Below are 24,745 nucleotides of genomic sequence, written 5' to 3'. Positions count from 1 at the left end.
CTACCTTCCCGCAGGTAACATGAGCAATAACAACAGCAATAATGACACATAATTTCTGAGCACTTACTGTGTGCCAGGCCAGGGCTCACCCTTTTACTTGCATAGGATTTGCAAGTAATGGGATCTTTATTAATACCTGAGCAGGAACATCCAGGGCCAGGGTTTATCAGAAGTGTGGTCTGGGATCACCATTTTAGACTCATGGAGGGTTAAAATGCACATTTCCAGGTCCAGTGCCCACTGAATCAGGCTTTCATGGTTGTAAGCAACCCTTGGGCATTTGCATTTTTAACCAGTTGCCCAGTCCAGCTGATGCACTTTAACTTTTGAAAACTACTCCCAATTTTGCTGTCTTCTCAGGGCCAGTTGCTGTTGGGATTCTTGTCTCAAGAGGTGACAGTATATGGGGTTTACTGCCCGCCACATTGGGGCTCTGCCCCTAGGAGGGCCCCTTACCTGCCTGTGGCATGGTCAGCCCTGCTGGGGGCGGCGGATAAGAGCCTGGATTATTTCCCCTTCACACCAGGAGCCTGTCACTTGGAGGCTAACAGTTACTGAGGTCAGATTTAGTGCCTGCCCAACACCCCCTGGCAAATAGTCTAGTCATCCCAGGCCTCCCCAGGTGGAATGCTGTGGTCCCCGCTGAAGGGCCTGCTGTATTGAGCAAAACAGGAAGCTCCGATGAACACAGTGCAGGCACATTGGCCAGCTGGTATGTCCCCACGCTGTCTGGGGAGCCTGGGCCCCAAAGGGAGGTTTATCATGCCCCCTCCCCTGCCCAGGAAACCAGCTCCGAAGCCAGCCATGGGAAGAGGGTGCCAGCTGTGTTGTGTTGGTGATGAAGCTGGCACAGGGGACCAGCTGGGGTGACAGCACCCTCGGGGAGCCAGGGGTCCAGGCAGCAGCTCTGACAGCCTCCTGCAGACTTGGCCTTGGACGAGTCATTGCACCCTCTGTTGCCCTTGGGTTGAAATTGACAAGGTGGCCAGTGGGGTGTCTTCTGTTCTCACACATAGAGGAGGATCACCCCCTCCTGGCTGGCGTGTGCCCATATGTATGTGCTTTGTCATCTCCCCTGAACTTGGCACCTACTCTGGTTTCTTTGCTGTTTAATTACGTGCTGCCCTCGAGAGCGATCTTACGTCCCTATGTGTCTCCCCAGGAACAGGGGCCGACAGCCTCTTTGAGTGTCTCTCCCACATAGGGCCTTCTTGGCACGGGGCTGGACGCGTGGCGGGTGGGTGCCCCGAAAGTACTCATTCGTGACCTGAGTAATTGAGGTTTCAGCCAGCAACGTCCTTCAAGACATTGGGATAGGGGTCTATACCCGCTGGGATAGGGGTACCTATCGGGAAAAGGTCCCAAAGACAGAACTCTGCTATATCTGTTTAGCTGCACACTGGCACTGCCCCGGAACCACGCTTCCTGGGCCCAGAGACAGAGTGGGACCCAGCATGGTGGCTGGCAGCCAGCCCACCCCACCTTCGGGTCTCATGGGGCTCCCTCCTCTCTCCCTCACAGGACGGCTCTCCTGCAGGCACGCCCCCGGCTGCTCCTCCCTGTGCAAAGCCTCGTGTGCCTGGCAGCCTTCGGCCTGGCCCTGCCGCTGGCCATCAGCCTCTTCCCGCAAATGTCAGAGGTCAGTGGGGAGGGGCTCAAGGGCAGGGCAGGGCAGGGGGTGCTGTTTGGTGATTTCTGAACAAATACTCATACCGTGCCGACTCCTTAGCGCCATGCTAGGCGCTGGGGCTGGAACCGTGAATGAGGCTGGCCCAGGCTCTGGCCCTCAGAGTGAGGGTCACGCAGTCAACAGGGTGATTAAACAGAGGCCAGCAGATGAGGAGCCAGGAGCGTTAGGGTGGGAGAAGCTCCACTGGGTGTGGAAGGAGACAGCAGACCAAACTGAGCCTAGAGGGAAGTGACATTTCACTGGGACTGGGAGCGTGGCTGGAGTTGGCCAGATGAAAAGGGGTGGCGGGGGGAGATGTGAGGTCCGCGGACACCTGGTGTGAAGGTTCTGAGAGGTGAGGCAGCACACGCCATGTCCAAGAGCTGACCAAAGTCTGCAGCGCAACCAGGGAGTGCAGCAAGGTGATGTGGCCTGGGAATGAGGGGCTGGGCTGGGTGGTGTTGGGAACTTGGAAGCCAGAACAGAGAGGGTGAATGTCCTCCTAAGGGCTGTGCAGGGCAGACCACAGATGCCTGATTCTGAGCGGCCCCTGTGCTGCCGCGTGGGGCTGGGTTAGAGCTCCAGAGAAGGAACCATCAGGAGCCTGTGGCGGGCATCCAGCAAGCGGTGATGGCGGCTTGGACCAGGCTGTTGGCAGTGGGCATGGAGAGAAGTGGGTCCCTAAAGAGGGAGTCAGGAGGCGGCTTCTTCGGGATTCGATGAAGAGCTGTATGTGGTGGGAGGGAACGGGAGCCAGAGGATGTGCACTGGCTTTCTGGTTTTGAACAACCAGGCAGATGTAGGTGCTTAATGAGATGGAGCCAGGCGGGGGCAGGTTCGAGGGAGGGCAGTGGGTCAGTTGGATGGACACGCGGGGTTGAGGAGCCTGTGGGATGTTGGCTCTGGGTCTGGAATGAGGAGAGACGCCTGGGCTGGAGGGATAGAAGTAGAGCCTACCAGCATGACAACAGTGCTGGAATCGAGGGTGGTGGGTGAGGCCTCCACCCTGGCGGGGTCCAAAGACAAGCAGCCAGGGTGGTGAGGGCAGATCCGGGCCATGTGTGATCAGGGTGGGTGGGGGGCATCCACAGGGTCAGACCCTCCTGAGAGGTCACACTCCATGAGATTACAGAGTATCCATTAGTGTCTCAGGCAACGTAGCCAAACCCTGTCCCCAGAGAAGGGATCCAGGTGACAGGTGAGGGGAAAAAATGAGAAAGACAGGTCCACAGCCGCAACAAGATGTGGGATCAGGAGGGGCTTTTATTTATGTATTTGTCCTTGTTTTAAATGGGAGAGACAGGGGCTTGCGTAAATGCAGTAGAGAAGGCACCAGGAGAGATGTCGAGGACGCTGACAGGACGATTTTGGGAAAGTCTATGAAGAGGAGGGGGGACCAGAGCACAGACGAGGGGATCAGCCTTGGCACGGGGAGACCCCTCCCCACTTCAGTAGGTGGAAGAGGAGTGGGGTGGGAGGAAAATGCTGCTGGGGGTAGGGTTCAGGGGTAGGAAAATTGAAGAAGTTGTTCCAATGGCTCCTGTGTTCTTGTGACTGAGCAGACAGGAGAGAGTAGGGTGGGGAAGGGGCAGGAAGTCAGAGGTCTGAGGACACAGAGAAGGGGTGAGACATCCAGGGGAGAATGAGAGGTGAGGAGGCTGAGCAGCACGTGGTCTGGGAGTGCAGCCGGGCCTGTTCACCAGGAGGTGCTATGGGCCAGTACAGGGAGGGCCACAGATCCTTTCTTCTGGGGTTTTGTCAGGTTGGGGGTGAGGGGGGCTGAGAGATGGGTGACAGCACGGAGGAGCAGAGGACCACGGGATCCACGCTGGGTTGGAGTGAAGGTGGGAGCTAAGCTGAGGGGAAGGCACAGACCCAAGAGGGCCCAGGAGGTGTCTGCATTGAGCTCACAAGAAGGCGAGGGCTGTGGCCAGAAAGCGGCGCTTCTGAATCTGTGATTTCACCATGGACCTGCTTCAGGCAGGGCCCCAAGAGAGGTGGAGGAGAGGTGAGGGCTCCTGGAGACAAGTCGGGGAAGTGAAAACAAGAGGCCGGGGCTGTTGGGGCTGCGAGGGCTGGAGACCCAGGCTCTTAGAGCAGGAGGAGGGGGTGACCCGCCTTAGGCCCTGGAAGGTGAGAAATGGGGTGGCTTCCTTCCAGAGCCCCAGAGTTTGAGGAGGAGACTCTGTGGGAGTGGGGCTCCTGTCTTGGGGGACACCATTCAACGCACACCAAGATTAAAGCTAGCAGGACCTCATCTCATGCCCACAGCGGCCAGCCTTGTCATGGGTGCTGGGATGCTCCTTCCCCCACCTCTCACCCTGGGAAACCTGCAGCCTGGGACTCCAAATGGAGCCATGGGCTCTGGGTTGCCTAGTAGCCCTGAAGAGGGAAGGCGGGTATTTCTCAGTGGTCTCTGACATCCCTGTCCCAGCCCAGCACTCCCTGAAGCCATTGCATCTGTCTGTGCAATCAGCCTGAGCCCAGGGTCCTAGGCCAGGGCCAGAGTCACCCATGTGTTTATAGGTACCTCTGTGCTTCTAGTAGCTGTCATAACTCCACCTGCCTGCACAGAGAAGGGACCCAGGGCAAAGAAAATACTGATGCAGAATCAGAGACCCTCCCAGTTAGAAGGATTTTCAAGGTCATCCAGTTTACCTTGCTACTGACTTTGCTGGGGAAATGGTGGCCCAGAAAAGCCATGGGACCAGCCCAAGGTTGCAGAAGTCAGGTGCCGATAGGAGAGGAAACACCAGAGGTCCACACTCCAAGTCCAGGCCCCTAGGAAGTGCTACACCTGATCATTTCCTGTGGCTGAGTTTCTCTCCCTAGTCAACCACCTTACCTACCTTGGGACAGCCAAGAGAAGAGGGAGCTGGGGGCTGCACTGTGGTGGGTGGTAGGAAACGGTCTAGAAGAGCTGTAGGTCTTTGGCAGGTGTTCCTCTGGGGCATATAATGGGGAGATGCCTACCATTCACCCACCCAGGCCTCCAGCTCTGGCTGCAAAGCAATGATGGAAAGTGAGCCACCCTGGTCTCACAGCTGCTGCAGGTCAAAGCCCAGGCTCCCCTCTCCCCACATGCCTACTTCAAATAGACATGGGAGTTAGTTCTTCTGCATATTTAACCAAAGTCCCTCTTATTGCAATCCAAGCCTCTTTCTCTAGATTGGGAAGAAGATAGTCATTGCATGTTAAGTCTTTGTTCCTCTGGGAAGGGAGGGTACAGGCATGATTTTCAGAGCTCCCTCCTCAGCTATGTGGATCCCAACAAGATGCAGGCTAGCCTGGGCATTATGGGGTGTTTTGAGCCCTGTTTGGGACCCATGGCACCAAAGCCTTCAGCCAACTTGCCGAGAGGGCCTTGTTTCCGCATTCACTCTCCCAATTAATTCTCCCTAACAAGGTGCTTCTTCTGCCATACAGGGATCATGTCTCACATCCCAGAAGCCAGTGGGATTTGCCACAATAAGTCTGGACTTGCTTGGGCTGACCCAGCCTTGCCAAAAGCCACCAAGGTTGTCAACAGAAGTAATCACTGGAACACCAATTAACTAATCAGGGGACTCGGAGGTAGAATTTAGGAACTAGTTCCTAGAGTGGCTGGCCTGCAGTGATTGTTGTGGAGTTTCCAACTCACTAACCCCAGAGATTGAGGCAAGGACTTCAATCCTTCCTTCAGTTCCTGGGGGAGAGTTTTATCTGCTCTTTTCAAATTAGTAGTTCTGCTTATTAAAATGGTACTGAGGGTCAAACTGCAAATAATAATAATGGCTACCATTTGCCAGATATCTATTGGACCAGGCAGCATGCTGGGAGCTCGGTGTACCTTACTGTATTAAGTCTTCCTAATGCCCCTTAAGTCTAAAACATTGAACATCAAGAGATGATTCCTAGACAGTCAGATGGCTCTGGGGAGAGAGTTTGGCTGGAGATACGGAACCTTCAGTGTATGGGGGGGAGTTGAAGCTGAGAAAGGGGATGTGGTCCACTATAGGAGGAAGAAAAACCATCAAGAAGGGGAAGAAGCAGCCAAGGGCACAGGGAGAACCCAGATGGAGTAACTTCATGGAAGCTGAGGACTTGGGCGATTCAAAGAGGAGGGGCTGTCTCCAGAGTGGGTGAGTGCAGAGGGGACTAGGAGTGGAGGAGACTTAGGTGGCATAGCTAGACATGGCAGTCTAGGAGGCAACATGGTATTCAGTTTCTTCTTTGTTCAGATGATTGAGCTCAAAGATGGGGAACTGTGGGAGAACAGCAAAGAAACTGTGAGATGGAGGTTGGGGGGCTTGGAGAGAGGGCAATGATGGGGAAGGAATGCCCAGAGCCCAAGGCGGGAAGGCATGGCCTCTATGGAGTCCCTGGGTCCAGTGAGTAGAGGGGGCTACCTGGCTGTGGTGGAGAAATGGGGGCCTGGATCCTGAGAATTCTCCAAGGTAGGTATCAATATTCCTTGTTTACCAATGAGGAAACTGAGGCACATTAAGGTTAAGTACGTTGTCCAAGATCCAAAGTTGTTGACGATGGAGCAGGCTTTGTACCCAGGCAGAAGAATTCTGTGACCCTCCCCAGCCCACCCACACCTCACTATAGAAAGAGGAGGCCCACTTCTGGGCTCCAAATTGCTTGCTACTAATTTATCAGCAGGAACATCCCAGTGCCCTCACCCAGCCCTCCTCCCCTCCACAGGAAATCTGCGTTTTCACAGGGACCTTTTGGAATCAGTGTTTATGTCTTTTCCAACCCAGAGCTGAGGAAGGGGCTGGGCAGTGGAGGGGCTGGAGGGAGGCTAAAGGGCCAACAGGTAGGGCAGGGAACCTCATGTCGTGAGAACTGGGGAACAGGTCCTGGGCTCCCTTCTGGACCCCAGTCCTCTTGCCCATGCAGGGAGTACAGGGTCTGCCCTGGCGGATCTGGTGGATCTGGAGGTTACTGCTGTAGGCCTGCCCCACCAGCCTGTCCCCAAACATGGATGGGCCCATCACACCCAGAATCTGCTCTCTGCCCCATGGAGCCTGGGCACTTTCCCATTTTTCTTGTTACCAGGATGGCCACGTAGGACCCCTGTGGTCTCAGTGAATCTCCCCGCTGGTGGTGGAGACAAAACTCAATAAACAAGAACTGTCAGGTGACAGCACAGGTCATGATGGACCTAAAGCAGAGGCTGCGCGGCAGCTTGCCGGGGCCGCTATAGGTGGGGCTGGTGCTGGGTGCCTCCCTTGTGGTAGGGCCAGATTGTGGTGGCCTTTCTGGCCTTGCCCCCTTTGGTGATTGGGGCTCTGGATTCCAGGCAAATGGGGTCCTCTGTGTCCTCCCCACTGCAACACAGACATACACTGGGGCCTCAGGTTCCCTGAGGGAGATGTGCAGGGTCCAGTGTCCAGGAACACGGGCTTGGCTACCACAAGAGGCTGTAGTGGGTGGTGGCAAATGTCCCTCTAACTCTGACAGCCGGTGTTCCCTACCTGGGAGCACTTCCAATCCTGTTTAATGAACCTCATGTCTCTCTGGAGCAAGAAGCAGTACCTTGGCCAAGGCCCCTCCCCACATCCCTGCCTCTGTTTCTGCTTCAATCTTTCTTTGTGCCTCTTTCTCCCTTCCTTGATTCCTCTCGGGCTCTCCCCCACCGCAGTCCCCTCTCTTTTCCTCACTCTTCCCCTGGGAGCTCGGGGGCTGGGGAACGGGGCTGCACATACAAGCCGGAGCCATTGTTCAACAATCTGTTTTTGTCTTCATCTTGTTGGCAGGCGGCAGGAGAGGAGCAAAAGGTTAATGAGGCACTGTGCAGCGGGATTACTGCGTGAACGGGCGGGCGGCGGGCGGGCGAGCGAGCCAGCCGTGGTGACAGGGAACTAATTAGGAGCAGTTTAACAGGAGGAAAAAGTGAAATCTCCTCTTCACCAACTGTCAATAATTAGCTGATTTGGTGAGGTTGAAATGTGTCCACAGAAGGTGGGGCTTGTCTGTGGATGAGTGAGGTACGGGGAGCAGGGGGGCAGCCGGGAGCTCGAACCCATCCCTAGGTGATGTTGGGGTGGAGGGGCTGTCCCGTGGCCCCAAGGCCTGCCCTCTGCCCCTCTGGCTGGCATCCCTCTACCTCAACTCTCCATATGACCTTGGGTCTTAACCTCAAAGACCTCAGTTTCCCCAGCTGGAAGATGAGGTGTTGGAACTAAGTTTCTTCCTGTAAGAACCAAGTTTCTCCCAGTAGGATTAGGGAAGTGAAAACTCAAGACAGGGCCCTGGTGCTAGACAGTGGACTGAGTGAGTCCACTTGAGTTACATGCTGCCCCTCAGGTGCCCGGCCTGCAGCAAGGGTGTGCCCTCTGGGAGCCACCCTCTGGGAGCCATGTCTGGGCACGGCAAGTGGGCAGGGCCTTAGCCTTCCTGGGAACGTGTCTTATGGCCCCTAGACCCTCACTGGCTCCTTTGTCCTCCCTGCAGCTGTGGGGGCTGGGGTGGGGATGAGAGATTGGGTAGTGTGCTTCCTGGCTGGGGCTGCGGGCAGGGGAGAGGGCCCTGGGGCGCCCTTGTAGGGGCTGGCGGCTATGAGCGTGTGTCTCTTCCCTGCCTCAGCTGTTGCAGGGGCCCCTGGGGGCAGGAGTGAGGTTCACTGGCCAGGAGGCTTGTTTCCTGTGGGCCTGTTCCCTCCTGGCTGTCTTGTTGGTTTGTTGGCATCTGCCGTCTGCCTTCCCTGAAGCCTCAGCAGAGAACTGACCTCCCCCGGTACCCCCACCACCTGTTCCTGCCCCTTCTAGCTTTTGCCAAGCACCTCAACTAGAAGAAAAGACAGCCTAAGAGTCTCCCAGGGCCAGGGCTTCCTGCCCTGAGCCTCCCATGTCAGCCCTGGGAACTCCCCATGTCCCTCCCTCTCAGCTGAGCCCCTACTCACCTCAGCTCTAGAGGGTTCTGGGGATTAGAAGCCATGTTCTGAGGAAGTCTAAAGCCTTCCCCCGATGTCCTCAGCCCGTTATGAGCCTTGTCTCGTCCTGGCCTCAGAGGGTGGCTCTTACAGGCCACACCCATGTGGTAGACGAGGCAGGAAGGCCAACCTCAGCCACCCCATACTCCTTCCTGCCTCCCCACTTACAGCTTTCAGGGTTAAGAAACAGAGAGGCATACCCTCCCTGTATGGGCAAAAATGTGGGTACCCTCAGTGGGTACCAGAACCTCCACTATCTCTACCCTCTTACCAGCCCTGATGAAAATGGTGGTTTTGATGAACCAGCCTGGCTAAACAGCTGTGAGCCACCAGAAGCAAAGTCCCCCCAGCTTATCTTTCTTTGAGAAAGTATTGGGACCCCCAACCAAGAATGGAGAAGAGCTGGGAATAAGCTGGAATGTGAGTCCACATTCAAGCTGGTCTAGAAATGGCTCCTCCTCCAGGAAGTCCTCCCTGATCTTCCCCACTAAGATCTGTCTCACCTCACCTGTGTAGGCTCTGGTGGTGTGTTTTCTGTGTTCCATCTTCCCCCTTAGGACAGTAGACCTTTCTCCCTTCCATGACACAAGGTGTCCCTGTGGCAGAGAACTGGTGCCCTTTATCAACACCTAGTACAGAGCGTGGCTCATCTGGGTTCACCTTGACTTTGTTGGTCCCTGCTTCTCCCACTCTTCCAGGGTTGATGCGAGGCCAGAGACAATGTCTAGGGCACATTGCATCCCTCCTGAGTCTACAGCAGCATTCAGCGTCTCCCAGAGCAGGGGCCTCCTTCCCTCCAGTCTCAAATCCATCTCCTACTTTGCTTGGAGATGTTTGTTTGGGGTTTTTCTCATTTACTGGTTTAATCAGTCCCTACTGAACTCTAAAGTGGGCTATTTTTGCCGTCAGAAATCTGCTGCCTCCCCGCCCGCTGCTTTCTTGGAGTTTGCCCACAGGACCCCCCAGGAGGGATGGATGGGAATGGCAAAGCCGCTCAGAGCCCAGGAACGCCAACGCCACCTGTCATTTTGCCTGTTCCCCACACCCCCACCCCAAACCTGCGCGTGCACACAGGCTCGCACACATACACGTGCACGCAAGAACATGTACACATGCCCGGGTGGCAGGCCTCGGCGGGGCTGCCTGACAGCCTTTCCCCCACAGTTCTTTTTTCCAGGACCTTCCAGGACACCTAGCTGAATCCAGGATAGGGAGGGAGAAGGCTTGGTTGTGCAGAGCTTCCATTAAAGGCATTAATACATGCAAAGTGGAACATGCCTGGCCTGCAGCAAGGCTCAGCCCTGTGAGCTTAGTGAGTGGGGCTGGGGCTGAGTGTGGGGACCCTGGGTGCTGTCCTCTTTACACAGCATCACGCAGGTTTTCTAAGCCTCCAAAGGGCCATCCTATCCATTTTGTGATATAATCCTCGTGGCACCAGGAGATCTTAGAAAATCTTCCCATCATACATGTGGGGAAACTGAGGCCTCAAAGCTTAGAAGACAGAGGACAGAGAATGATTCTGAGATTGGTCCACCAGAGGGCACCCAGGAATGGTGCAAAGCTCCAAAATGGTAGGGGGCGGGGTGTGGTCTGAGCACTTGCTGGGAACACATAGCACAGGGGAGCCGGAAAAGTGTAAGACAGGATTCTTGCCCACGAGGCACTTCAGTGTCACTTAACTCAGCTGTTACTGAGGACCTACTGTGCACAAGGCATAGGGATACCGAGCTGCCTGGAGCGGCTCACAGTGGGGTGGGGCAGGGGACTACTGTAGTCACCCCTGTTTAGAGTGCAAATGAGCCTGTGCCTGGGGATGGGATGGAGATAAAAGCATGTGCTGGGGACACAGAGGCAGCAGCAATGGATTTGGTCTAAGAATATCAAGGGAGGCTTCCTGGAGGAGGCAGCCTTAGAGGGTCAGGATATAGCCTGGACTTAGGACTCAAAGCGTATACTTAGAATGTACAGAAAATGGACAGCAGTTGATGGGTGAAGAAGCTGGAAAAAGTCCCAGAAGGCCTGGAGTGTCCAGCTGAGGGTTCTTTCACTGAGAAGGTAGTGGGAGCCCAGAGCCAGCACCAGAGGCCTAACTCAGGGGTCCAGGGGTCTAGGCTTAGGCCTCAACTGCTCCCCAGCCCCAGCCTAATGCCTCTGCTCTCCAAAGACACTCAAGATAGCTCTCCCAAAGGTGGGGCCTGGATGTGTGTGTGTCGGAACAGGACATGGGGCCTGCCCAGCCCTGGTGAGAAAGGATGGGATGTTGTGCCCAGTGGACAAAGCGGTCCCAGGCCTGGCAGAGGCCTCAGGCACACAGGGTCAGCCAGGTGCCTGCTTGGGCTTTGGGCCCTGCGTCAATGTCGCCACCTTCTGCAGACCCTCAGAAGCCCAGACCTCTGCCCAGGAGCAGGTGGTGGCTTTGAGCTATGTCACAGGGTCACACCGAACACCCCACCCCCCCAGCCCCATGCCTTTGAAAAGGAGGCAGAAAAGCCATCAGAAGAAAGGCCAGCAGGAGGAAGTTCTTTGTAGTAGGTAAAAGCCCCCAAGAATGGGGCACAGGCAGGGGATCCAGTTTCCTGTTTATGTCTCCGCACCTTAGCTCCAGGTTCAAATATGTAAACTATCTGCTGGCCTGGCTGCAGGTGTGTGTGTGCTCCCAGGCTGTAGAGGCAGAGGTGGCCCCAAATGCATTCCTGACTCTAGCCCCCCACCCACAGTGAGGCAGGAGACAGAGACAAATAGCTCAAGGTTAACCCTTCCCACACCACAAGGGAAGGTGCTTGGCTATTCTAGCTGGGCCTTAGGGTGCCCGGGAGGCTGGGGAGACGCTGGATAGGATGCTCCATGTCTGGGGATATCTCCTGGAGGGGCAGCAAGGTCTGAGCGGGGTTGGGAAGATGGGGTGGCACTCTGATACGGAGAGGGGCACATCCCGAGGAGGCTGGCTGGGAGCTGGTGTGCAGGTTCTGCCTGGGAGTCAGGGAGCGCTAGCAGGGCGGCACTGCTTCCTTCATGGCAGGGCAGGGTGATCCTGGCAGCCCACTTCTGTGGCGGGGGCGACCATCAGGCAGTGCTCCCTGGTCCCTGCAGCCCCTGCCCTCCAGGGCTTTGGCTTTCCATCCCAGACACCCCCTCCCTCGGGAGCCCCTGTTGACTGGCTCTTGGGTGCCCGGGGAGGAGCCTACCAGATGGAAGAGATGATGGGCCCACGGATTCCAGCCCGCCCCGAGCTGGCTGCCTGGGCCTGGGCCACCCCTTCTCCCTATGGCCACTCCTTGTCCTCTCTCCTCATCCCCTTATCCCCGGAGAAGGCCCCTCAGAGCCAGTCTGTGGTCACAGCCAAGTCCCTGCCCCTCGACCCACTGCCCTGGGGCTCTGGCCTTCTGCGGGGTGGAGTTGGTTGGGCAGCAGGAAGAGATGCTTTATTGCCTTTGCTCAGACCTGAGTCACTTTCACTTATCCATGGGTCCAGAGGCCACTGCCAGGCAAGGCCCTAGATGTGGTTCCCTTGGAGAAAACTTGGCCCCACACTTACCTCAGAGAGGTGGTCTTCAAGGGAGATGCTTAGTTTTTGGTGGACAGGGGAGGAAACATCACATATAGGTGAGCAGGCAACTCAGGGGTTCCTGCCCCAGCCTCCCCTAGCCAAGCCCAGCAGGGAGTACCCCAGTGGTCCCAATACCCATGAGACCTAGAGATGGTGGCCACTGACCCAACACCTGGCCATGGCCAGAGAGCTGGAGGGGTCCTAACAAATGACCAGTTAAGTTGGCCTGGGATAGAGTGAGAGGCTATGAACCAGGATCAGCATGAGGTGGGGGTCGGACAATGTGGACCCCAGGCAGTCACTGAAATCCAGTTGCCAAGACCAAAGCCTCTCAGCCCTCACTGGGACAACTCTCAGAAAACTCTCTCTGACGCTCATGGCTGCTCAGTGTTTGTGGCACCCTCTGTCATTACGTTCGCTCCTCGGGCTGGTCCCCCAAGGCCACCATCACAGGCTTGTTCCCTCCGCTTGCCCTTCAAATGTGCCTGTTCCCCAGGCCTTGGCACCCACCCCTCCATCTGCTTCCCTGGGCGAGCTCCTCCACTCTGAAGGATCTGGCTATGCTCACACATCCCGGGCGCTTTCTCCTGCCCAGAGCTCCAGAGCCCTGGACCCATCTGCCTCCCAGGCCTGTCCACCTGGGGAACCCACTGGCACCCCAGACTCCATGTGGCCATCCTGAGCCTACCACCCCCAACCCTGGCCCATCCCCTCCCATATTCCCTCCGAGAATGGCGTCACCAGCCACCCCAGCTCCTGAGCTAGAATTAGGAGTCATCCAACGCACAGTCATCCTCAACACCTCCCTCTCACCCCCACGTGGAATTGGTCATCAACTCCTGTGGATTTCATCTTCAGAAAGGCTCCTCCTGTCTTCCCCCACTGGCAGCATCATAGGGCAGGACCTGGCACTTCTCTGATTCCCACAGATGCTCCCCAGGAGGCCTCCCCACCCCCTCCTTACCCCTCCAGTCCATCCTCCACACCCACCATCCCAAGAGAGACCTTTCTAAGACAGTCTAAGGCCAGGCACGGTGGCTCATGCCTGTAATCCCAACACTTTGGAAGGTGGAGGATCACTTGAGGCCAAGAATTCAAGATCAGCCTGGACAACATAGCGAGACCCTGTCTCTGTAAAAATTTTTAAAATAATTTAAAAATTAGCCAGGCATGGTGGCATGTGCCTGTAGTCCTAGCTACTCAGGAGGCTGAGGCAAGAGTTTGAGGCTGCAGTGAGCTGCAGTCACACTACTGCACTCCAGCCTGGGTGACAGAGCGAGATCCTATCCCAAGAAAAAAATAAAAACAGAGGCTGGGTTATGGTCCACTCCTGCTCAAAGTCCTTCTGTGGCTCCCTATTGCCCTCAGGTAAAATGCTGACACCTTCATGTAGCCTACAAGATTCTGCCTGTCCCAGCCACACCTCCATTTCCTGCCACATTTCCAAGTCCAACATTGCCCCGCCTCCCAGAAACAGGCCATGCTAGCCAGCTAATATTTTTTTCTTCACCCAGCAAGCTTGGCCTGCCCTTTCTGATCAAAATCCTCCATTCTCTTCCTGGCTCACCACCTCTGAGAAGTCTTCATTCCTTGTTCCCTTATCAATACATTGGAACTCCCAACCCCTCCCCAGTTGCCATGGCACTCTGCTTGTCTCTCTGGACTCCATCTGCATTCACCAGCCAACTCCTCTCTAGACTTTAAGCTTCTAGAGGGCATGAGTTGGTCTTGTCCCCCTCTGTGTGCCCAGCCTGGGTGTCTGGAGTTGGTGACCATCAACATCTGCTGACAGGAGGGTGGATTGACTTGAGAGAGGAAGCCTAGGATGTCAGCTCTGTCCTGGGGCCCCTGCTCCTGATCCCTCAGCCACCTCCCCCAGGAGCCTTCCCACTGCCTGCATCTCCCCCTGCTCCTACCTGCTGCCCTGTGTGTGGCGGGGAGCCCATGGGAGACGGGGTGCCAGGAGGAGGAGGCCTCGGTCTCCCCCGGGCCAGCATGCTCTAGGGAGTGGGCACAGTGGGCCGTGGCCCTGGGCCGTGGTCCTGCATGGTGGTGCTGAGCAGCCTCTCTGATTTTAATGTGGGCCTCAGTGCTTCAGTGAAAGCCGGCATGGGAAGTTGCTAATAATGGCACTAAAATAAAATATGCTACATCTGTTATGGGTAGCAGAACAAAATTAGCTGCTCACACCTCTGACATCCAAGATGTCTTAACTTAAAATACTCCTTGGCTTACTTTACATCATTTACTGATTATATTTAAAAGAAATACAATTTTGCAATTACTGTTCTTTCCAGCGTGATATCTATGCATCATTTTCCTTTTATGTTTATATATTTCTCCTTCATTAGTGCAGTCTGAAGGGTGATTAGGATTCTTCAAACATTTTACAGAGGTTAAACGTTGATTAAGATTTAATTATTACTGTAAATAGCTTGGAATGACATATGGTGCAAAAGCCTGACATATGTGCATTTGAATAAATGAAGTGCTATTTCCCAGGATGCCTCAGTAGCTGTTTAACAGCTTTCCCGAAGGGTTATGTTACACCTCATGGTAAGATTGCTGGGATGTTATATTTTGTTGGTTTTTGCAGCTGAAAGCTAAGAACAGTTTTCCAGTTTTTTAAAAACATTGAATATTTTAAATACCTAAATTGTTTTGCACAAATTTTTGCTAATTTGTCTAACTAGGTTAAACATTTTCAAAAGCATTTAGATTTTTAAGCGTGGGCGCTGTGCATTGTGTCAGTGGCAGCGTGGGGACGAGGGGAGCCGGCAGGGTGGAGGGGACTGGGGGTGGCAGGGGTGGGGTGGGAGAAGGTGGTTTGAGAAGACGGAGTGGCGAAGAGGCCTGGGCCCTCAGCCTGGCTCTCCTCTGTTTGGCCCTCTCGGGTGACCAGACTTGGGTAACGGGGTACCAGCGACTACAGAGGAAGGGTCCTCTCTTCTCCCACTGTGCCCACCAGCTCTAGTCCTCACTACACTCCCTCTTATGGGGACTCCAATGTGCACAGCCCAGACATGACAGAGCTCTCCGAAGGCCAGGCTGGCCTGTACCACCTTCTGCCCACTTCCCAGGGTTGCCACATCTTGACATATGGCGGGTGTCTAGAACCAAGTTCAACCAACCTAAGTTGCAAGAGGCCTGGTGCCTCCTTGACTCTGTCCAGGGCAAATGTCCGGCGGGGACCTTCTCACTGCAGTAGTGTCTTTCTCACCTGCCCCCCTCTAGCTAGGGGCTCAGGCATCCCCACGGGCTCAGTCCCTGGAGATAAAGCCCAACATCGGGGCTGATGTGGTGTCTCCAGGGGAACCCCGTCTTCCAGTGCCTATTCTATTCCAGTGCTCTTTTCTTTCTGCCCATGTATTCCACACTGAGGGAGCACCTACTGTGGACCAGCATTGTGCTAGGCTTTGAGGACACAGGGGCGAGACAGATCCGCACGTCCGCTGCCTCAGGGAGCTTGTGATCTAATGTGGAGAGGTGGGGTATGAGAAGTTCAGGGAGCTATGGGGGCCACAGAGGTGGCCACGCCCAGCGTAGGGGAGGGAAGGTGTCTAAAGCTGAGACACGAAAGATGATGAGCTGAAGACGGGAGAGCAGAGTAGGGGCAGGAATGGAAGTAGGACGGGGTGTCTCTGAACAACTCAGGCAAAGACTGGAGTGGGGACAGAGCCCAGGGTGTGCGAGGAACCAAAATCAGTCCATGTGCCCTGTGTCTCCAGTCCAAGGAGCAGGGTGGCGCGGGAGTCTGACTTGATCCCTGAGGATCAGGGTGCCATGGAGCCATTTCACAGTGAAGAGAGGCATGGGAAGACTTGCAGTTTAGAAGGCCGGCACTGGCTGTGGTTGGGGACGGACTGGGCTGGATGAGACCTTGTGGGGAGGGACGGGGAGAGGACGCAAAGAGGCTCCAGAGTCTTTGGGCAGAGCACCACTGGATGGCGGCGTCATTCCCGAGATGGAGAGCTGAGTGGGGCCAGGGGAGAGGGCAGGTTCAGTTCCATTTCAGGTGGGTTGAGTTCAGGCGCCTGTGAGACATCCACAGCAAAGTTTGGCAGGCAGGCGGCTGTGAACCTGAGGCTCCAGGGAGAAACAAGGCTGCAGAAATCTTGTGTGGGGGTAACCCAGGGCATGTGCAGAGAAGAGGGCCCAGCCAGACCAAGCCCCAAGGACCCCGAGGAGCATGCAGTGGGTGTCGTGAAGTGGGGGGTGGCAGTGACCTTGGAGAGAAAGATTTTTCTGGAGTGTGGTGAGAACAGAAGCCAGATTTACTGTGGGTTGAAAAGTCAGTGGGAGGGAAGGAGGTGGACACAGCCAGTGTAGACCAAGTTTTTTAAAGAAACGTGGCTGCTGGGGAGGAGAGAGACCAGGTAGTAGCTGGGCCTGCCTTGGGATGAAGGGGAGGTGTCATCAGAGAAGGTTCCTGCATGTGGAACACTAACGGGCAAAGGTGGGAGAGAGGGAGGATGACCCAGGAGGGGGCCCCGGAGTGGGCAGGGGAGGTGGAGCCAGGTGGGGTCCTGTCCTGCGAGGGGAGGGATGGCAGCTGTGGGGTGGGAGGAGGGCAGGTGGAAAGCCATGCATGGACACGGAAGGCAGCGGGTTTGATGATGGGAAGCTGAGGGTTTCGCCTCTGACACCTTCAGCTTTTTCCCTAAATAAGAGGAAGTGTCACCTGCCCAGGATGCGTGGGAGCAGGGGGTGGGTGGCCAAGGAGAGGAGAGCAGAGCAGGTATCCAGTGGCCTCTGGAGAGTGGGCGAGGGAGCTGACCTGGCTATGGGGGCAGGGGTGGGGTGGTTGTCTGCAGTGGTTGGGGGTCCAGCCAAAGTCAAGGACAGGGAATTTTGAGGGTCTCCATTACATGGTCAGGTTCAAGTAGGAGTGGGGTGCATGGTGGGGTTCTCCGAAGCAGGGCTTCTGCCAGCAGCGTGGGAGGGACCCTTGGGCTAGGGAGTAGCTGAAGGGATGGCCCCTGGAATCGGGACTGCAGGGGAAGATGTAAAGACTGAGTGGTCGGAGTGTGGAGTGTGGGCGCTTAGGTCTAGGGGACTGGAAACAGAGAAGCAGGAGTGAGTGGGGTGCTGGAAGGACAGGCGACTGAGGAGCCCAGGAGGGTGGGGTTTGGATGGAAGGAGTTGAGGTGGAGCAGCCCTGGGTGGTCATCAGGTCCAGGGAATGGCCCTGGGCAGGGCTGTGGTAGGTCTGCAGTGCAGTGGACATGGTTCTTGGGGGTGAGGGAGATGCAGAACTCAGAGGCCAGTGTGTAGGATGTCCACCCACGTGGACACACCATCAGAAGAAAGAGATCTGGTCTGGGCTGGAAGGGATGCTGTGAGCCCCGCGGCGGGAGGGCGGTGGAGAAGGAAGATGTGTCACTAGGTAGGGCATGTGAGCCCTGGCTGGGGTGGACACGGGGGTGCAGGGGGCAGAGCTCTGGGGCCCAGGGTGGTCCTCACTGCAGCTCCCAGCCCCACTATTTGCCCCTTCCCACTCCCCCACTTTTCCTCTCTGTTCTCTCTCCACAGATTGAAACATCCCAATTAGAGCCGGAGATAGCCCAGGCCACGAGCAGCCGGACAGTGGTGTACAACAAGGGGTTGTGAGTGTGGTCAGCGGCCTGGGGACGGAGCACTGTGCAGCCGGGGAGCTGAGGGGCAGGGCCGTAGACTCACGGCTGCACCTGCAGGGAGCAGCACGCCAACCCCAGCAGTCCTGGGCCCCCTGGGAGAGTGCTCAACCTACAGTGGAGGGAGACTGACCCATTCACATTTTAACATAGGCAAGAGGAGTTCTAACACATTTCGTACAAAAAAATAATCAAGTGCATTTCTGGGCCTTATGTGGGGTTGTCAAAACTCCACTCAGCACAATTATGTGTGAAGCTGAAAAATTGTAGAGTGCCCATGGGGTAGAAGTAGAATCCTTTTATACTTTGGTTCCTTTTTTATTTTTATTTTTTATCAGAATCAAATCTGAGCCTTAGTTTCAGCTGACCAGAAGTGGCAGGAGGACAGGTGGAGGCGAGCCAGATTAGGCCTGGAGTTGGGCTGGTTTGGTGGCCAGGCTGGTAAATTTAGGATATTACAATGGCCAGCCCAGATGGCTCCCTGGGCTGGCATGGGGAGGGGAGAGAAGGTGGTCTGCACCCCACAGGATGAACTAGCCATGACTAGGGTCCTCAGGCAGTGGCCCAGGGAATCAGGGAGCACTGGAGGCCTCTGCAAGATTCTGTGGGCAGCTGGCTCTGAATGTAGCCAGCCCACATCCATTCCAGAGCTGCAGAACCAGTCCCTCTGAGTGAAGTCCAGTGACCCTGGAGCTAGGGTCCCCCTTCGTGGAGCTCTAACTGATTCAGGGCCCCTGAAGTGACCCCAGCTCCAGGCAGGAAACCCCGAGAAGGAATGGTGCTTGGCAGGAACCATGGACCTGCACTTGGCCTCTTCGGGAAGATCCTCCTTCCAGGCCCCAGGCTGGATGCTGGGTTCTGGGGCTGAGAGTGGGGCTAGACTGGGCTGGCTGCCTTCTGCGGAGCTTCTCCAGCCACCAAGGCTGCCTGCCCCATCCCATCCCTTTCTAAGCAGGAAGGTCTCATGCCTGAGAATGCCTAGGCCAGCTCCTTAGACACCTATCAGAGAAGCAGCATCAACCTAGGAGCAGTGGGCCCTGGCTCTGTCACTAAATGGCAGTGAGATGTCAGACAAATTCATTCCCTTCTCTCAGCCTCCACTCCCTGTCTGAAACCAGAAGACTGGATCAAGGGGTTCCCACTGGCTCCTCCAGCAAGACCTCGTCTTTGCTTGTCCTGCTCAGATGCTGGTCATCCTGGGCATGTCCCCAGTGTGGACTCTGGACTGGGAAGGGGGCAGGCCCCTTTGGACCTGCAGTTGGCCTCAGCAGAAGGCCTTGCCTTGTGTATGTGACTCCATATCCCGGGAGCAGTTGACCTTTGCCAAACACTTTACAGTTCTGGAGGAGGAGGTAACATAGATGCCTGGGCCTGATGGTGGGGCCATACCCATGTGTCGCCTCTCACTCTGGCAGCCTCAGAGGCCCCTTGCTGCTGGCTCCCATCTCCCTCCCATTTGCAGACCAGGAAGGAAGAGCAAGCTGTACAAAGGGAAGCAGAGCCTGGGGTGGGTGTGAGCAGGGTGACCCCTCATCTGAAAGGCCCAAACCAGGGGGAAGCACCAGCCTCAGTGCAGCCCCCTCCTGACCCCACCTAGAATGGAAGCCTCCACCTGCAGCCCCAGGCCTCCCTCCCCCGGGGTCTCCACCTCAGGGGAGACTTAGGCCAGAGGTGAACATTCATGTGTAGGAAGAGGCCGCTGCAGGGTGGCATCTTAGGGTAGGGGAAGTGTGCTGAGGTGGGCCTTCCATGGGCATGGCCGTTGCCTCTCTGCCAGCCGCTGGTGCCCACCAGCTGGCTCTGCAGCACATTGCCCTGAGGGGCCTGCCACTCTCCTGAGGAGCAGCCCACCTGCTGCCCGTGAGGAGGGGGAGAAGGGTTAGACAAGCCTGGAGGACAAAACAGCGGGAGTGTGGGGGTGCCATGGTGTTGGAGGGGCAGGCCTTTTTGAGCCAATCCCACCATAATGTGAATATGCCAGTGACTGCTGCGCTGTGCTGGTCTCTAGGCCTGAACTAGGTGCTGGCATGTCTGGGTCGTCTTTTGAAAAGCTCACTTCAAGCTCACCCTGCTCCTACCTATCATAAGGTCTTATTCTTGTGCACTTTATCTTGGGACCAAAACTGCCTACCCACCCCTTCCCGCCCTCCCCCTGCCAGAGGCCTGGTGCCCTGGCCCAGCCTGTGGCCTCAGCATCTCATAACTCATTTGCTTTGTCTCCCGGATGATTTCCGTCATGCTCCCAAATGCAGCTTCAGGTGAGCCAAGGGGTCTGCTCCTGTGGCGGTGCAGTGGCAAAGGATCCAGATAGCCTAGGGTGAGGGTGACAGAGGGACAGTGGGCTATGCCACTAGGCCCTGGTCTGGCTTTGGAAAGACCTGTGAGGGGAAACCTTCACCCAGCACCCATGCCCCACTCTGCTGAGGCCAGAGGAAGGGAGGCCTGAGGGGCAGATTGGTTCATGCCTGGGGTGGAGGCTAAGCCTGGACACAGTCAGGGCGGGGCTGGCCAGCTGTGCGAGAACACAAGCCACGCCTGCGATGGTGCTGCACCCCTGGTGTCCCTGCCTGGCCCTCCTCTGGTCACTTCAAACATGCCCTCAGGCTTGGGGATGCCCTTCTTCCATTCCCAGACAGCAGTGTGAGGGTGCAGGGACCAAGATGTCAAGCTGGCCGTGGAGTCGAGCTGGCCGACGGACCCCTTTCACCTGGTTATGAGCCGACTTCTTTGGTGTTCTGGCCTCTGGCCTGGGAAAAGGGCAGGAGCCTAGAGGAGGAAAAAGGCTGGTGGACAGACCCAGGGTGGTCTTCAAGCCTGGCCCAGTGAGAGTGAGGCCCCCGCACGCAAGCCTCAGCCACTCCCAGGGGCCTTTGCAGCGTCTTTTTAACCTCAGAAAATTTCTCAATCTATGTGATTTGTGTAATACTAATGAGCTTTGGGCAATAAATACGGGATTTAAAGCATCAGGGTGTGGTTTTGTGAATTGTGGGTGGGAAGGGGAGTGGCGTATGGAACCCAGTGGGAAAAGGGAAGGACTGCCTGAGGATTTTGTGGGAATACCTCCAGGGAAGGTGCAGACCTAGGTTCCAGGCTGGATCGGGCCAGCTGGGAGGCCCAGAGGGAAGGGGAGAGGAAAGGATGGAGACCATGTGAGGACACAGGGCAGTGAAATTCTGCAGGACTCCCCTTACAGAGCTGTTATTGAGCGCTCACTAAGGAGCCCGCCCTCAAGGAACGTGAGTAAGACTTTTGGTAGATTCCCATACTGTTTATATCCATGAGGCTGGGAGGCCGGAGGGGGTCATTTCTGGACCACCTGGGGCCAGGAGAGGCCTCCTAGGGAGGGAAGGTTTGAGCCAAGTGGAAAGGTGCTTCATGGCTGCAGTGTGCATGGTACCAGCCCTGAGATCTCTGCCTCTTCTTAACTCCTCCACTATCCCTTGGGGCTAGGACTTGGGCATCTCCTGATAGCAATGGTTCCTCCTCTTCCAGGCAGCCCCCAGAGTTCCCAAGTCCAGCCCTGCAGAGAAGCGGGCAGGGAGGTGGAAAGCCATCCTGGCTGGGGTCAGATAGACCCCAGTTCCAGCCGCAGCTTGGCCCAGCATGACTGGGGCTTCTAGCCAGATGCTTCCTCTATTCACCCATCAATTGGGTCAGACATTTATTGACACCTACTCTAACTGAGCCTTGGTGACCTTATCTATAAAATGCCACGAACAGCATCACTTGGCTGGACTGTTGTAAGGATGGAAAGCTGGAGGAGGAATGCACCCAGACTCCTCTCCCCGCTCCCAGGTGTGTGGGGGAGGGCCTGCCTCCCCTCCTGGGTGCTGGGACCTTCCCCACTAGAGAGAGAGGAGAGAAAGGGAGAGGGGAGGGAGCTGTTTGCAAAGTGATGCCTCTGGGCCAGGAGGCTTCTGGTCTCTGGGGAATTTCTTTGCTAAGAGCTCCACAGGCCACAGCCTCCATCCGGGGGCGGAAATCCTTGACTCTCAGGACAGACACAAATCCCTCCTGGGAGCTGTTTGTTGTTTTTAGCTGGTTTGGGGGCTCAGCTCCTGCCCAGCCCAGAGATCATTAACACTCCAGGAATGTGGCCTCCCCTGCCCCCATCCCCTCCCGCCTGGCCCATCGGACCTCCCTTCTCTCACTCAGGCCACGGTTAGAAGGAGAGTCAGAATGTAAGGGGATGGAGGCCACGATGAGTGACCCTTCCTGATGCCCCAGGGGCCTAGCCTCATTTTCATAGCTCCCTCAGTCCCCTAAAGCTGCTGCAGCTTCTGCCATCTCAGCCATCCCTCTGCCACCAATTAGCTCCCAAAACAGGAATGCCTCAGCCACTTCCAACAAGGCCTCACCCCTGCACGCCCACCCTTCCCTGCAGAACCAAGAGTCTCTCCGAGCAGTGGCTGAAAAGTGTTCACTCTCCACCCTGCACACCGAGGCAGATGCTGGCAGCCTTGCATAAGGCCAGGGCCAGTCTTCCCTTCCCCACGAGGACACCTCCTCAGCCACAGCAAGAATCTGGGGCCCACCCCAGTTCCCTGGGCCTTACGGAGGGGTGGAGAAGAGAGCAAAGGAAAGAGAAGATGGACAAATGGACAGACAGGCCCCAGACCACCAGACCGTCTCCTGGAAGACCCCATGTAAACCCATGGGGAACTGAGGGAAGGGGCCCACCCTCCGTCCCAGGCCAATGGATGCTGGTTCTCCTCCTCTTCATAGGTTAGTGTGACAGAGGGAGGGACAGTACAGCAGAGCCCTGAAGCAGCTCCATGTCATTAGAGAATAGAGAGGAGGCCCAGGAGCGGCGGTGTGACCAGGTGCTGCTGGGCCAAGGCCAGCGGAGAGCCCCTTGAGGCTTTAAGTAGAGAAGTGGAGTGACCTGGCTGCAGAGTGGAGGGTGGAGTGGTCACAGCAAGGTTGCTGGGGAGACTGGGTGAGGGGCCCCTGCGGCAGTCCTGGTGAGGAAGATGGGGCCTGGGCCATGTGGTGGGGATGGGGAAGGGGAAGGAGAGAAGTGAAGATTCAGGACTGCTCAGCTCTCCGTGAGGGTGGCAGAGAGAAGTAAGGGGTGACCCTAGGTTCCTGCCTGAGGCAGCAGAGAAGGGGCCATTTCTGAGCTAAGGCACAGAGAAGGAAGAACAAACCCACAGGAAAGGGGATGCATTCTGATTTCCAAGGCATCGGAGGTTCCTGGGAGATAACCAAGTGGACACCAAGAGACGAGGAAGTCTGGAGCTCAGGAGACAGGTAGGGATGGGAAATGTGGATGTGTCTGTTATCCACGTCTAGGGAGCATCTGGAGCTGGAGGAGCAGAGATGGCCACCCAGGTGGAAGGAGCTCTGAGGAGCCCCACCTCTGAGGCCTGGGCAGAGACAAGGAAGCTCAGCCATAAGGGAGGTGTGAGGGCTGAACCACGTCCTCCCAGAACTCATCTGTTGAAGTCCCAATGCCCTGTGCCTCAGAATGTGACTGTCTTTGGAGACAGGGTCTTTACAGAGGTAATTAAGTTAAAATGTGGTTATTAAGGTGGACTCTCATCCAAAGGAGAATCCAAAATGACTGATGTCCTTTTAAGAAGAGGAGATTGGGCTGCAGGCATGCTAGAGGAAGAAGCTCCTGTGAAGACAAAGGCACTGTCCACAGGCCAAGGAGAGAGGCTTCAGAAGAAACCCACCCTGCTAACCCCTGATCTTGGGCTGGCAGCCTCCAATGCTGGGAAGAAATAAATTTTGGTTGTCGAAGCCACTCAGTCTGAGGTGCTTTGTTGTGGCGGCCCAGCACACCAAGGCAAGAGGCGAGGAAGGCAGGGAGGGCGTGGCATTCCAGAGGACAGCGATGGGAGTGCTTCAGGTAGAAGGGGCTTCCATGTGCTTCACTGAGGCCGAGAGGTGAAGGGAGACATGGACCAAGGCGGGCCCCATGGAGGACCCAGAGAGAGGAGCCTCAGTGGGATGTGGTCAGGGCAAAAGACAGATCTTCACGGGTCGAGAAGTCAGGACTACCACGGACAGCCGGCATAGCTAATTCCTTCAAGAAATTTGGCTGATGGGCAGAAGTGGGACATTGAGAGATGGAGCTGAAGAGGCGCTTAGAAGGTGGACCCCTCAGGCAAGAATCAGAAGAGACTGTGTCGCAGAAAGAGGAAGAACAGCCTAGCAGTGAGCCGCTCCAGGTGGGGAGACTCTGAAGCCCAGGTTGGAGGTGGGGGTTAGGGGTGGGGTTCTCCTGGGCCAGAAGGAGAGAAAGTGGCGGGTGGTGACAGGAGGCAGGTGGGGAGGAAGGGCTGGCTGCAGGCAGCGTGGGGTTGAGGGTGAGGAGCCCCCACCCCTCCAGATCCATTCTGCATCTGTCCACCTGCTCTGTCCCTGGAAGCTGACTAAGGGCTGGCTGGCTGGCTTCCACCACCAGGAGTCCCAGCAGGAAACTGGGGGATTGGAGGAGTGACGCTGGGGGATTTTTTCCTCCTGGTCCCTCCTGCCATCTCTGGGCCCCTCTGTACTGAAGGTTACGGCTCCTACCTGGGGGCCCTCTCCAGCCAGCTGTCTCCTCCAGGTTCCAGTAGCTGCCCCTGCCTCCTTCCTCTTCAGGCCTCAGGGCCATATGGGCTCCCCATTATTACCAGCTCTGGGGTACTGCACCATCCCTGTGGGCTCCCCAAAATTTAATTGTTCCTGTAGTAAACTGTCCTCCAAGTGCTCTATCTGAAGGTACCATCTGACTGATACAAAGGTGTCCCCTTCCAGGGCTGTCTCTGAAGGTGGGAGTAAGGCCCTCTGCTGAGTCAGGGGGAAGAGAGGCTTGGAGGGAGGGTGGCAGAGGACTTCTCAATAGGGCGAGGCCTCAGCTGAGGCTGGGACCCGAAACAATGAGGGGCGCCATCCCGCACGCCTGCCTGCTGTCCTCATGGACTCAACTGCACGGGCAGGTGGAAAAGCAGGTTCAAGCAGGGTTTCAATTCTGCCAGGCA

At 56.3% G+C, this 24,745-nt stretch overlaps 1 protein-coding gene across 21 annotated transcripts in view, besides 8 other annotated features; it reads left to right on the top strand.

The window, feature by feature from the left end:
- The window catches only part of SFXN5 (sideroflexin 5), a 129,677-nt gene extending 108,943 nt beyond the window's left edge, over positions 1-20,734 (top strand). For 13 of the 21 annotated variants that reach the window (NR_138476.2, NM_001371739.1, NM_001371738.1 and 10 more), the window contains 2 exons: positions 1,522-1,639; positions 17,671-20,734. Coding sequence is in view for 20 of the 21 variants with exons in the window: in NM_001371739.1 (NP_001358668.1) it covers positions 1,522-1,639; positions 17,671-17,748 (196 nt within the window). In the remaining variant the exon portion in view is untranslated. Of the gene's footprint in view, positions 1-1,521; positions 1,640-5,666; positions 5,791-17,670 lie in introns of all 21 variants that reach the window. The other 8 variants (NM_001371743.1, NM_001371742.1, NM_001371741.1 and 5 more) reach the window with 2 other exon arrangements.
- Positions 3,156-3,656: an enhancer, noted in NCBI's record as "H3K4me1 hESC enhancer chr2:73186243-73186743 (GRCh37/hg19 assembly coordinates)". NCBI's record gives its function as "activates a minimal SCP1, AML or CMV promoter by ChIP-STARR-seq in primed H9 embryonic stem cells {active_cell/tissue: H9 hESC(primed)}" and the evidence as "EXISTENCE:reporter gene assay evidence [ECO:0000049][PMID:30033119]".
- Positions 8,612-8,781: a silencer, noted in NCBI's record as "silent region_11630". NCBI's record gives its function as "represses an Ori minimal core promoter by ATAC-STARR-seq in GM12878 lymphoblastoid cells {active_cell/tissue: GM12878}" and the evidence as "EXISTENCE:reporter gene assay evidence [ECO:0000049][PMID:35858748]".
- Positions 10,175-10,676: an enhancer, noted in NCBI's record as "NANOG-H3K27ac-H3K4me1 hESC enhancer chr2:73179223-73179724 (GRCh37/hg19 assembly coordinates)". NCBI's record gives its function as "activates a minimal SCP1, AML or CMV promoter by ChIP-STARR-seq in primed H9 embryonic stem cells {active_cell/tissue: H9 hESC(primed)}" and the evidence as "EXISTENCE:reporter gene assay evidence [ECO:0000049][PMID:30033119]".
- Positions 10,677-11,178: an enhancer, noted in NCBI's record as "OCT4-NANOG-H3K27ac-H3K4me1 hESC enhancer chr2:73178721-73179222 (GRCh37/hg19 assembly coordinates)". NCBI's record gives its function as "activates a minimal SCP1, AML or CMV promoter by ChIP-STARR-seq in primed H9 embryonic stem cells {active_cell/tissue: H9 hESC(primed)}" and the evidence as "EXISTENCE:reporter gene assay evidence [ECO:0000049][PMID:30033119]".
- Positions 11,681-12,182: an enhancer, noted in NCBI's record as "NANOG-H3K27ac-H3K4me1 hESC enhancer chr2:73177717-73178218 (GRCh37/hg19 assembly coordinates)". NCBI's record gives its function as "activates a minimal SCP1, AML or CMV promoter by ChIP-STARR-seq in naive H9 embryonic stem cells {active_cell/tissue: H9 hESC(naive)}" and the evidence as "EXISTENCE:reporter gene assay evidence [ECO:0000049][PMID:30033119]".
- Positions 12,183-12,684: an enhancer, noted in NCBI's record as "H3K27ac-H3K4me1 hESC enhancer chr2:73177215-73177716 (GRCh37/hg19 assembly coordinates)". NCBI's record gives its function as "activates a minimal SCP1, AML or CMV promoter by ChIP-STARR-seq in naive H9 embryonic stem cells {active_cell/tissue: H9 hESC(naive)}" and the evidence as "EXISTENCE:reporter gene assay evidence [ECO:0000049][PMID:30033119]".
- Positions 19,913-20,901: an enhancer, noted in NCBI's record as "H3K4me1 hESC enhancer chr2:73168998-73169986 (GRCh37/hg19 assembly coordinates)". NCBI's record gives its function as "activates a minimal SCP1, AML or CMV promoter by ChIP-STARR-seq in primed H9 embryonic stem cells {active_cell/tissue: H9 hESC(primed)}" and the evidence as "EXISTENCE:reporter gene assay evidence [ECO:0000049][PMID:30033119]".
- Positions 24,113-24,614: an enhancer, noted in NCBI's record as "H3K4me1 hESC enhancer chr2:73165285-73165786 (GRCh37/hg19 assembly coordinates)". NCBI's record gives its function as "activates a minimal SCP1, AML or CMV promoter by ChIP-STARR-seq in primed H9 embryonic stem cells {active_cell/tissue: H9 hESC(primed)}" and the evidence as "EXISTENCE:reporter gene assay evidence [ECO:0000049][PMID:30033119]".

The sequence above is a fragment of the Homo sapiens genome, chromosome 2, assembly GCF_000001405.40.
Source record: "Homo sapiens chromosome 2, GRCh38.p14 Primary Assembly".
NCBI classification, from domain to species: domain Eukaryota; kingdom Metazoa; phylum Chordata; class Mammalia; order Primates; family Hominidae; genus Homo; species Homo sapiens.
This window is presented reverse-complemented; position numbering and strand designations above follow the sequence as displayed.